Source organism: Homo sapiens, chromosome 3 (assembly GCF_000001405.40).
Source record: "Homo sapiens chromosome 3, GRCh38.p14 Primary Assembly".
Lineage (NCBI taxonomy): Eukaryota > Metazoa > Chordata > Mammalia > Primates > Hominidae > Homo > Homo sapiens.
This window is the reverse complement of record NC_000003.12, coordinates 121,364,347-121,377,346: the sequence shown is the minus strand read 5'-3', so window position 1 is coordinate 121,377,346 and position 13,000 is coordinate 121,364,347. Positions and strand designations below refer to the sequence as shown.

At 38.9% G+C, this 13,000-nt stretch overlaps 1 protein-coding gene across 11 annotated transcripts in view, besides 1 other annotated feature; it reads right to left on the bottom strand.

Moving 5' to 3' along the window:
• The window catches only part of STXBP5L (syntaxin binding protein 5L), a 516,557-nt gene that overhangs the window by 47,415 nt on the left and 456,142 nt on the right, over positions 1-13,000 (bottom strand). The gene's annotated exons all lie outside the window — the stretch shown is intronic.
• Positions 4,784-5,283: an enhancer, noted in NCBI's record as "H3K4me1 hESC enhancer chr3:121090911-121091410 (GRCh37/hg19 assembly coordinates)". NCBI's record gives its function as "activates a minimal SCP1, AML or CMV promoter by ChIP-STARR-seq in primed H9 embryonic stem cells {active_cell/tissue: H9 hESC(primed)}" and the evidence as "EXISTENCE:reporter gene assay evidence [ECO:0000049][PMID:30033119]".

Below are 13,000 nucleotides of genomic sequence, written 5' to 3'. Positions count from 1 at the left end.
AATTAGATCACATTTGTCAATGTTGGCTTTTGTTGCAATTGCTTTTGGTGTTGTAGTCACGAAATCTTTGTCCATGCCTATGTCCTGAATGGAAGTTCTGGCCAGGGCAATCAGGAAAGAGAAAGAAATAAAGGGTATTCAAATAGGAAAAGAGAAAGCCAAATTGTCTCTGCTTGCAGATGACATGATTGTATATTTAGAAAACCCTATGGTCTCAGCCCAAAATCTCCTTCAGCTGATAAGCAACTTCGGCAAAGTCTCAGGATACAAAATCAATGTGCAAAAATCACAAGCAATCCTATACACCAATAATAGACAAACAGACAGCCAAATCATGAGTGAACTCCCATTCACAATTGCTTCAAAGAGAATAAAATACCTAGGAATCCAACTTACAAGGGACGTGAAGGACCACTTCAATGAGAACTACAAACTACTGCTCAAAGAAATAAAAGAGGACACAAACAAATGGAAAAACATTCCATGCTCATGGATAGGAAGAATCAATATCGTGAAAATGGCCATACTGCCCAAAGCTATTTATAGATTCAATGCTATTCCCATCAAGCTACTTTCTTCACAGAATTAGAAAAAAAGCTACTTTAAGTTTCATATGGAACCAAAAAAGAGCCCATATAGCCAAGACAATCCTAAGCCAAAAGAACAAAGCTGGAGGCATCAAGCTGCCTGACTTCAAACTATACCACAAGGCTATAGTAACCAAAACAGCATGATACTGGCACCAAAACAGATATATAGACCAGTGGAACACAACAGAGGCCTCAGAAATAATACCACACATCTACAACCATCTGATCTTTGACAAAGCTGACAAAAACAAGCAATGGGGAAAGAATTCCCTATTTAATCAATGGTGCTGGGAAAACCGGCTAGCCGTATACAGAAAACTGAAACTGGACCCCTTCCTTACACCTTATACAAAAATTAACTCCAGATGGATTAAAGACTCAAACCTAAAGCCTAAAACCATAAAAACCCTAGAAGAACAGAAGCATCTTACTGTGCAGTTAAGAAGGGTACATAAGAACATTGGTTCTGGGGCCAGGCTAGACTGCCTGGAATCAAATCTCAGTTCTGCCACTTACTAGCTGTATAGATTACTGAAATCTTCATGCATTAGTTGCCTCTTCTGTAAATTTGGAATATTATTACCTACCTAATGGAGTTTTTGTGATAATACATGTCAAATGCTAGAATATGTGCTGGCATACAGTAAACTCAGAACAAAAGTTAATTACGATTGTCGGTCTTGTTCCAGAGTATAAAACTACTCACGTCCAAGATAAGAGTACTGTTTATTTAGACCTTGTGAGTTTGGCTCTGTTTTGATAGAACTTAAAAACTTGGCAATGCATTAAAGTATGTCTTATTTTTCTTAATGCTAACAAATTATATTTGAAACATCATCTCGTAGTTCAGCAATACATAGAATACATTTTAAAATGTGTTTCTTTGGTCATACAAATGAAGATAGAGTGCCACAGAGAAAAATCATGTTTATTGGCCATGTTGAACATGAAGAACTAGTACTTGGTATCCACTACAATATAGCCTTACTGTATTATAGAGTTTGAAAAGGTATAATTGTACATTTCCTGGATTCCCTTGCAGATAGTGCAAAGATGAAAATTAGTTTTCACCATTTAAATGGGCTGGCATGTTAAAAAATGGGAGTTAACATTTATCAAACACTTAAATGCTGGGCACTTTGTACACATTACCTCATTTAACCTTCACAACAATCCTGCAATGTAGGTGTTTTTTTCTCTTATCCTGATTTTGAAGATGAAGAAACTAAAGCTCAGAAAAAATCAGTAAGAAAATTTTCTCATATCACATACGTAATAATCAGAATTCTAATCCAGAGTTGCTCACTTACTGTCTGTATGCTTAAACATTTGACTACAGGGTCAGGTAAAATATTTCAGAAGGAGTGGAAATTTTGAAGACATATTTAGTAGGGTTTAAGAGGCACATGTAATGCACACTGAGATCCAGGCTTTTTGGATTCTGACTATAATGTGCCTTGGAGAGGACATTTTAAAATTAAATCTATTTGGGGATTATTGAACTTTCCATATCTGTATGTTTATATCTGTTCCAAGACTTAGGAACTTTTCAGTTATTGTTTCATTAAGTTTTCTTTTTTTGGTATAAATTTAAAGGGTACAAGTGCAATTTTGTTGTTACATGAATATATTGCATAGTGATGAAGTCTGGGCTTTTAGTGGAATCACATCTGAATAAGTACTCTGTACCTGGTAAGTAATTTCTCCTCTTTCACTCCCCCTCCCACCCTCCCACCCTCCCACCCTTCTGAGTCTTCAATGTCTATTATTCTGCACTCTATGTCCATGTGTACAAATTATTTAGCTCCCACTTATAAGTTAGAATATGCAGTATTTTTCTATGCCTTTTTCCTTCTTTTCTCTTTCTGCAACTTCTAAAATTTGATTATTTGTTTGCTTGTTTTCCACAACTCCTAGGCTTTCCTAATTCCTTCTCATTCTTTCTTCTTTCTCCCTCCCTCTTTTCCTCCCTCCACAACACCCCCATACCACCTTTGTCTGATTGGGTTATTTCAAAAGACCTGGCTTCAAGTTCAGAAATTCTTTCTTCTGCTTGGCCTAGTCTACTGTTAAAGTACTCAATTGTATTTTTTTATTCCATTCACTGAATTCCTCAGCTCTAGGATTTGTTTGGTTCTTTTTTATGATATCTATCTCTTTGTTGAATTTCTCATTCAGCTCAGGAATTGTTTTTCTTATTTCTTTGTATTTATCTGTATACTCTTGTATCTTGCTAGATTTCCTTAAGATCGTTATTTTAAATTCCTTTTCAGGCATTTCATAGATCTTTTTTTTCCTTTGGGGTCTGTTATTGGAGAATTATTGTGTTCCTTTGGAGGTATCATGTTTTCTTGATTTTTTGTGTTCACATGTCCTTACATTGATATTTCCACAGCTGGTATAACTGTCACTTTTCCCAATTTTATAAAGTAGCTTCCATAGAGAAATATTTTTTCCTGTTGATGTATCTATAATGTAAGTTGGGTACATGGCTTTGGCTTTGGTTCTGGATGGGCACCATAGCGTAGTCTCCATGTGATTACTTTGGCTGTAATCAGTATTGGAGATGTCTGCAAGTTCCTTAGTGGCATAGGCTGCAGTTGTTTTTGGAGGCTGTGGTAAGGATTTGCTGGGGATGGAGGTGCCAAGTGGGATGGTCCTCAGGCCTCTTGGTGGGGTATGTGAGCATCAGCAGTGATGGCAGTAGGCCAGTTCTTGGTTCCCTGGGGGGCACATGCAGGTGTCAGTGGTGGTAGTATGGGCCCTGAGTAGGCTGGTCTTTGGGCCCTTGGGTGGAGCACACAGGTGCTGGCAGGTGAGGTGGCCTGCTCCTTGAGTCCCTGGGTAGGATGCATGCATTGGCACTGGCAGTGTCAATAGCAGGTGGGTCCTCTGGTGCCTGAGTGGAGTGCACAGAGACTGGTGGTGTCATCAGGCCAGTAGGACCAGTCTGCAGGCCACTGGGTGGCATGCATGGGTGCCAGTAGTGAGCCAAATGGCCCAATCCCTAGGCCTCTGGGTGTGATATACAGGCACTAGTGGTGTCCATAGTAGGGCAGGCAGGCTGATCCCTGCTCCCCTGGGTGGGGCATGTGAGTATACAGCCTCTCTGATGTGCTAGATCACCTGCTCCCTGGGATGTAGGGTGCTGCATGGCTCAGGTGCCAGAAATGCAGTTATACCACTGGGTCAGCTGGCATAGCAACACTACAGCCTTCTGGGTGGATGTGGAGGGATGTTGGAGATGCAGGAGTCATTGGGCACCAGGGCGGGATGTAGTTTGGTGTTTACTCTGCTCTCAAAATGGCATCATATTGTAGCAGCTTGGGTCCCAGAGGTCCCAGCACGAATTCCCTCCCTGAAACAATGCAGTCTTGTGGACTCCAGGAAGCTCCTTATACTAGGCTCAGGGCCCAAGAGGGCCAAAGGGCTTTCTTATAGCTAGGACTGCAGGCATTTGTGGTTGGAATGTGGACTGCTAGGAATCTCTCACTTACCGTTTCTCCTGCATTGGAGCATCCCTCCTAGGTGTGAGCCAATCCAACTGAGTGCCTTGCTTCCTTTTCTATGCTCCCATCTCAAACTTCCATGCCTCAAAGGGTCCCTGTTGTTTTCTTACTGGATTCATTAATTCTTCCCTAGATTTTCTACCTGATACATTGTTACCTACTTGCTGTAGGTTCCTAATATACTGAGATAAAATTATTTGGTTAAGAAGGTTAAGAACAAGTTTTACTCTTGGATATATTAAGCAACGTCATGTTCTAGCAGTGATCTCTGGGTATTGTAGTTTCTACCTCCAATTTACTTATTCTTTTAAAAATAGCTTTAATTTTTAAAATTTTAACTTCCTTAGAGTCTCACTTCCATTTAGACAAAAAATTAATATTTTCTTTCAGTATCCTTCTGCAATTAGTCTAATTAATTTTTTTCCAACAGAAATAGAAGCATAGATTGAATTCCTGCTCTAAGATGGCTGACTAGATGCAGCCAGGGGAACATCTCCCACCAAGAGACCAGGATACTGGGGAGACTGGCACACTCCTATCAGATCTTCAGAGGGAAGGCATTGAGAGCAGATGGAGGGAAGACACAGGGGCTGGGCTAAAGGAGAAGAAAGCTGGGAAACCTGCATTGGGCTACCACACACCACGACTTGTTCCCTGACCCCAATGACTCCTGCAAAAGGGGTGAGTTGAGCAGTCAAGAAGGAACCTGCTATCGCCATGGGCCTCTGGAATCCCAGCAGGAGGAGACCCCTTAGCCACAATGGACATCTGAATTGGCAGGGAAAGCTGCTTAGAGAAGAGAGAAGCATTAAGGAAAGAACTCCAGCTAGCGCCCAGAGGGTTTGGTGTGGGAGCACCTGTAATGGAGCAGACCAGTGATGCCCGTCACCCTAGGCTCAACTTGCTCCCATAAGAGCTTTAACCCTAGGGAAACTGTGAGGCCTGAACTCTATAGGGTGGTCTTGCCCATGAGACAGAGCCAGTCTGACCTAAGCACCCCTCAGTCTTCTGGCCTCTCCCAGGCCCCCAGCCTGGCTAAGCCTGTCTGTAGTGCAGCCCCTAGGTACCTCCTGGGGGTCCTTATCATAGCTCCTGTGCTGGTGGACTGTGCCTGACTGGCAGAGTGCTCCAGCAGAGTGCCCCTGCCTGCACCACACTGAGTCCTCCCCCAACAGCAGCCTCCATGCTGCTTTGCCCACAGGCACTCACCCGTAGCCACCTCCACATTGCTTTGCCAGCACATGTGTGTGCAGGTAGACATAGCCTTCCCTTCCCTGCCAGCGTAAATATGCATGAGCACCCTGTCATGACACTACTGCCAGTGGAGTGCACCTTGTCCCACTTCTCCCAGCGGTACCACCATTGTTGTTGAAGCATTGGCAGTCAAGGAGCCCACTGGCCCTGCCCTGCCTGTGCCCCACCTGTGCAGCAACACTGCCACTGGTGCAAAATTAGGCACAGAAAATAGTGGCCCTGGCCTTGGCACTGGGCGGCCACCACTACCAGCATGAATATGCACAGAGGGCACACACAGCACCCACCGGTGCTCCCATGATAACACCACCACTAGCATGAATGCATGCACAGTTGCCTACAGGGGCCCCTGGTCCACACTGCCCCCCACGCCCCAGACATACTGCCACTACTACTGCTGTGAATGCCTGCTCAAAGGCTGGCACTCTGGTACCTACCAGCACCCTGCTGCAGCCAATGAGAGTCTACACTGCTGCACTGCTGCTGCTGCTAGCATGTGCAAATAAGAACAGAATCTGCTGCCACCACCCTACGAAGTGCTTTGTCTCCATGGTTGGCATTACCCATTGGAATGCTGTGACCAGTGGCCAGGACACTCTGGCCCCTCTAGTGCAGTAGATTCCTAAACTCAAGGAGCTGGAGATCAAAGGCAAGGCCTGAAAGGAGTCCTCAAGAGTTAAAGCTTGCAGTCCAGGTGTCCTAAGCTGAGCCTTGGTCCCCAAAAATCTTGCCATAATGAAGAAAGTAGTTAGCTGGGCCCATATTATACCACAATCAAACCCCCAAGGTCATCAAATAGAATAAAAGAAAAAAATACTCATCCAAAGGACAACAACTTCAAAGACTGCAAGAACATCAGCCCATAAAGATGAGAAAGAACTACTGCAAGAACTCCGACCACTCAAAAAGCCAGTGTCTTCTTTCCTCCAAATTACCACATTAGTTCTCCAGCAAGAGTTCTTAACTGGGCTGAGATGGCTGAAATGACAGAAATAGAATTCAGAATATGGATAGGAATGAAGATCATCAAGATTCAGAAGAATGTTGAAACCCAACCTAAAAAAGCTAAGAATCACAATAAAATAATACAGGAGCGGACAGACAAAACAGCCAGTGCAGGAAAGAATGTAACTGAGCTGATAGAGCTAAAAAACACTCTACAAGAATTTCATAATGCAATCACAAGTATTAACAACAGAATAGACTAAGCTGAGGAAAGAATTTCAGAGCTTGAAGTCTGGCTTTCTGAAATAATAGAGTCAGAAAATAATAAAGAAAAAAGCATGAAAATGAATGAACAAAACCTCTGAGAAATATGAAATTATGCAAAGAGACTGAATCTATGACTCATTGGCATTTCTGAAACTGATGGAGAGAATGGAAGCAACATAGAAAACACATTTATGATATCATCTGTATTAGTCCATTCTCACACTGCTATAGAGACACACCTGAGGCTGGGTATTTTATCAAGAAAAGGTGTTTAGTTAACTCATGGTTCTTCGGGCTGTACAGGCTTCTGCTTCTGAGGAGGCCTCAGGAAACTTACAATCATGGTGGAAAGTGAAGGGGAAGCAGTCACATCTTCACATAGGAGGAATGGGGGAGGTGCTATACACTTTTTTTGAGACGGAGTCTCCCTCTGTTGCCCGGGGTGGAGTGCAGTGGTGTAATGTCAGCTCACCGCAACCTCTGCCTCCTGGGTTCAAGTGATTCTCTTGCCTCAGCCTCCCAAGTAGCTGGGATTACAGGTGCCTGCCATCATGCCTGGCTAATTTTTTTTGTATTTTTAGTAGAGACGGGTTTCACCATGTTGGCCAGGTTGGTCTTGAACTCCTGACCTCAAGTGATCCACCTGCCTCGACCTCCCAAAGTGCTGGATTTACAAACATGAGCCACTGCGCCTAGCCACTACCCACTTTTAAACAAGCGTATCTCAGGAGAACTCTATCACAAGAACAGCAAGAGGGAAGTCCACCCCCATTATTCAATCACTGCCGATCAGGCCCCTCCTCCAACACTGGGAATTACAATTCGACATGAGATTTAGGTGGGGACACAGAGCCAAGCCATATCATCATCTATAAGAACTTACCCAACCTAGCTAGAGAGGCTAACATTCACATTCAGTAAATGCAGAGAAACCCAGCAAAGAAGACCACAAGAAGACCATCCCCAAGACACATAACCATCAGATTCCCCAACATCAAAATGAATGAAACTATTTTAAAGGCAGCTGGAGAGAAAGGATAGGTCACCTACAAAAGGAAGCCCATCAGACTAAAGTGGATTTCTCAGCAGAAAACCTACAAGCCAGAATCTCTAGTGAATTGCCTGGTGAAAGGCTTTTCTGAAGCCAGTGAGTAAGGACTGGAGGAAGTGACTGCAGACTTCAAGGAACATGAAAAAAAAATCAAAGAAAAAATCAAAGAACCACGACACCACCACAGGAACAAAATAAACCTCCAGTGGCCAACCCCAAAGAAAGAGACCTTTAAGAAATGTCTGACAAAGAATTCAAAATAATCATCTTTAGAATTTCAGTGACCTAAGAAGAACAAAGAAGAAAGAAAAAACTAAACAAAATCAGGAAAACAATACCTGAAAAAAGAGATGTTCAACAAAGGGATAGAAACCATTAAAAAAAAAAAAGCCAAACAGGAGGATTCTGAGATGGAATAGGAAGCACCAGAACACTCTAGATAACAATTGCACTGACAGAATTTGAAAGAACTACTGTGGAACTCTGGAGTTTATTGAAGACATACAACTTTCAGGGGAAGGCTTAGATGGTAAATTGCAGCTAATTTTGGTCAATTTTAGCTCTTAGCTCAGTAGTAGCTACCTATGCCCCACTCCCAATCCCCTGCCAGGCAGCTGTGCACATGTTCCTGGAACAGTTTGCATACAGCTTTCAGGAGACAGGGTGGACCAACAAAACCCCCCTCTATCCTTAAAAAATCAGGGATTTGTGTCCTGATCATTGATGACTGCTTCTGATCACAGAAGTGCAAACAAAGAACTGGGCAGCCATTGTTGTTGCACTTACCCTCATTCCCGCAAGCCCTACACCCTCTGTCTGAAGTGACTTCCAAGGGATTTAAAGCTCCACTGCCACTCCATTAACTCCTTCATTTTTCTCTTTTTCTTCTTTCGAGAGCCAGACATTAAAGAATTAGACATTAAGAAGACAACTGCATATACAGGGAAAATTAGAAAATGACCACACATATCCAGAGAAAAGCTCAGAAAAGGCTTAAGAAGACCTTAAGATTACACCCCAGACCAGTCCTTGGCACAGAGACAGATTACAACTATAAAGCAAATTAATAAATAAAACCTAAAGCAATAACAGCAACAAAATAAACCCTAGAAAATGGAGCAAATATGATTTCCAGAGTTATTACATTATTAAATTAAAAAGTTCCCTTTTAAACAAAAAAAATCATAATGTACACAAAGAGACAGGGAAGGATGGCCCATTGAAAGAAAAAAATAGCAACAGAAATTATCCCTGAAAAAGTCCTGAGGGTAGACCTACTAGATAAATACTTTAAAACAACTGTCTTAATGATGCTTAAAGAACTAAAGAAAGATGGGGAGAAAGTCAAGTAAAGGATGTATGAACAAAATATAAATATCAGTAAAGAGATAGAAAACCTAAAAAGAAACCAGAAAGAAACTCTGGAGCTTAAAAGTATAATAACCGAAATGAAACATTCACTAGAAGAATTCAAAGGCAGATTTGAGCAGACAGAAGAATTAGCAAACTTGTAGATTAAAAAGTGAATATTATCAAGTCTGAAAAACAGAAAGAAAAAAATTCAAAATGGTGAACAGAGGCTAAGTGACATATGCATCCCCATTAAGTAAAAAGTCAATATTGTGGAAATTTCAGAAAAAAAAGGAAGAGAGACAGAAAGGGGCAGAGAAAATATTTGAATAAATAATGACTGAAAACTTCTCAAATTTGATGAAACACATGAATATAAACAACCAAGAAGCTCAATGAATTCCAAGGAAGATAAACTCAAAAAGACTCACATTGAGACATTGTTACAAAGCTTTCAAAAGTCAAAGATGGCTCATGCCTATAACTCCAGCACTTTGGGAGGCCAAGGCAGGAAGACTGCTTGAGTTCCGGAGTTTGAGACCATCCTGGGCAACATAGGAAGACCTGGTCTCTACAAAAAAAAAAAAAAAGGAAAAGCAAAAAAATTAGCCAAGTGTGGTGGCAAATGCCTACAGTCCCAGCTAATCAGGAAGCTGAGGCAAGAGGATCTATTTGAGTCCAGGATGTTAAGGCTGCTAGAAGCCATGATCAATCAGGCCACTACATTCTATTCTGGGTGACAAAGTGAGAACCTGTTTAAAAAAAAAAAAAAAAAAAAAAAAAAACAAGAGTCGAAGACAAAGAGAGAACCTTGAAAGCAGCAATAGAGAAGTGACTCATCATATACAAGGCATCCTTAATAAGATAATCAGCATATCCTTGATGCTGATTATGAAAACTTTGGATGGAAAGTAGAAGGCAGGAATCAATATATTTAAAATGCTAAGAGGAAAAAAAATTTCAACCAAGAGTCCTATATCTGGCAAAAGTGTCCTTCAAAAGTAAGGAATAAATTAAAATATTACCAGATAAACAAAGCTAAGGGAGATTGTTACCACCAGATCCGCCCTGTAAGAAATGTGCAAAGGAGTCCTGCAGGGTGAAATAAAAGGATATTAGGTAGTAACTCAAAGCCATATGAAGGAATAAAGATCTCAATAAAGACAAATACAAGGGCAATTGTACAAGCTAGTGTTATTGGAACAATGGTTTGTAACCACACCTTTTGGGTTCTACATAATTTAAGAGATAAATATATTTAAAGGAATTATTAGTTCATGTTGTGGGGTACATATGGTATAAAGATGTAATTTTAGAACATAAACAACTGAAAGAAGTGAGAAAGAAGCTGTAAAGTATCAGAATTTCTGTATGCTATTGAAGTTAAGCTGGTATCAATTCAAATCTTAGTGTTATAACTTTAGGATATTAAATGTAAGCCAAATGGTAACCATAAAATTAGCTATAAAATATACCAATAGGAAATGAGAAAGGAATCTAAACATCCCATTTAACAGTCAGCTAAACACACACAAGACCACACACAAACAGTAATAAAAAAATGGAGTACAAAAAAGCTATAAGGCCTATAGAAGAGAAATCATAAAATAACAGAAATCCCTCTTTATCAGCAATTACTTTAAATGTAAGTGAATTAAAGCCTCTACTCAAAAGATAGAGATTGACTGAAAGGATAAAAACACATAGTCTAACCATACATGGTTTATAACAGACTCACTTTTGATACAGAGTCACAAATAAATTGAAAGTGAAAGGATGGAGAAAGAGATTCCATGCAAATGGTATCCAAAACAGAGTGGGGTAGCCATATCAATATCAGACAAAATGGTCTTTAAATTTATAAAGTTAAAAGAGACTAAGAAGGACATTATATTTCCTAAAAAGCTGAACATATTAAGAAGATACAACAATTATAAATATTTAAGCCTCTAATGAGAGACCATCAAAATATATGAAGCAAAAAATGAGAGAAAATAGAAATATACAGTTCTATAATAGTTGTACAATTCAATATTCCACACTGAAAAATAGATAGACCAACCAGACAGAAGTAAGAGAAAAGAGGACTTAATACAATAAACCAACTAGATCTAACAGTGATATATAACACTCTATACATCAACAAAAGTATACGCATTCTTTTCAAGTGCACATGAGACATCCTCCAGGATAGGCCATATGTAAGACCATAATTGAAGTCTTGATAGACTTAAAAAGATAGATGCCATACAAAGTGTCTTCTATGAGCACAGTGGAATGAAGTTAGAAATCAATAACAGAAGTACAATTGAGAAATTAACAAACTTGTGGAAATTAAACAACACTCTCTTAACCAATGGATCAAGGCAGAAATCAGGATGAAAATTAGAAAATAATTAGAGATAAATGAAAACAAAAATACAACATACCAAAAACATATAAGATACAGTGAAAGCAGTGCAAAGAGGGAAATTTGTAGCTATAAATACTTATAATAAAAAATAAGAAAAATCTCAAGGCAACAACCTAACTTTACAACTCAAGAAAGCAGAAAAAGAAAAAAAGAACCCAAAGCAAGTAACAGAAAACATAAACATTAGAGCAGAGATTAAAAATTAGAGAATAGAAAAACCACAGAGAAAATCAATGAAATCAAAAGTTGGGTCTTCAGAAAATCAACAAAATTGATAAAACTTTAGTTACATGTAAGAAGAAACAGAGAGAGAAGAGTCAAATTACTAAAATCAGAAGTGAAAATGGGGACATTATTGCTGATTCTACGGAAATAAAAAGAATTTTAAGATAGTATTATGAACATTTGTATGCCAACAAATTGCATAATCTAGATGAAAAAATAATTCCTGAAACACAAAACTTGCCATGACCAAGTCACAAAGAAATACAAACCGTGAATAGACTTATAACTAGTAAAAAGATTTAATCAGTAACAAAAAAAAATCTTCTGATTAAAAAAAAAGAAAGAAAAAAAGCCCTGAACCTGTTGGCTTCACTCGTGTATTCTGCCAAATCTTTAAAGAAGAATAATATCAGTCCTTGTAAACTTTTTCAAAAATTGAAGAGGACCAATACTTCTAACTCAATCTATAAGGCCAGCATTACCCTGTTACCAAGCTAGAGAAAGACACTACAACTATAAACTATATTGACTATATTAATATTCCTCATGAACAGTGATGCAAAATACTCAATAGAATACTATTAAATAGAATTCAGTAGCATATTAATGGAATTATAGACTATAACCAAGTGGAATATATTTCTGGAATATAAGGATGATTTAACATGTGAAAATTAATCATTGCAATATATTAAGGTTACAAATTAATAAAATAAATATACCAAGCAGACTCAGATAGAGACTCAAAAAAAGAGGGGAAAAACCCACCTGATCATCTCAATTGAGCAGAAAAAGCATTTGATGAAACTCACCACCCTTTTATAATAAAAACACTCAACAAATTAGAAATAGAAAGAAATTATCTCAATATAATAAAAGCCATATATAAAAACAAAGATTCCACAAAAAACTGTTAGAGCTAATAAATACATTTAGTAAAGCAGTAGAATATAAAGTCAACACATAAAAGTCAGTTGCATTTCTTTATATAAACAATCGGCAAAGGAAATTATAAAAAATTTCATTTACAATAGCATGAAAAAGAATAAAATACTTAAGAATTAATTTAACCAAGGAAGTGAAACACTTGTATAATGATATCTATAAAACATTACTGAAAAAATTAAAGAACATATAAACAAAGGAAAACATATCCCATGTTCATGGATTAGAGGACTTAATATTGTTAAGATGTCAATATAAACCAAAGTGATCTATGGATTCAATGCAACCTCTATGAAAATCCATTTTTTTTTTTTTGCAGATATAGAACAACACATCCTTAACTTCATCTGGAATCTCATGGCCAAATCTAATAGCCAAAATAATTTTGAAAGAGAAGAATAAAGTTGGAAGATTTACAATTTCTGATTTCAAAACTTACTACACAGCTGTA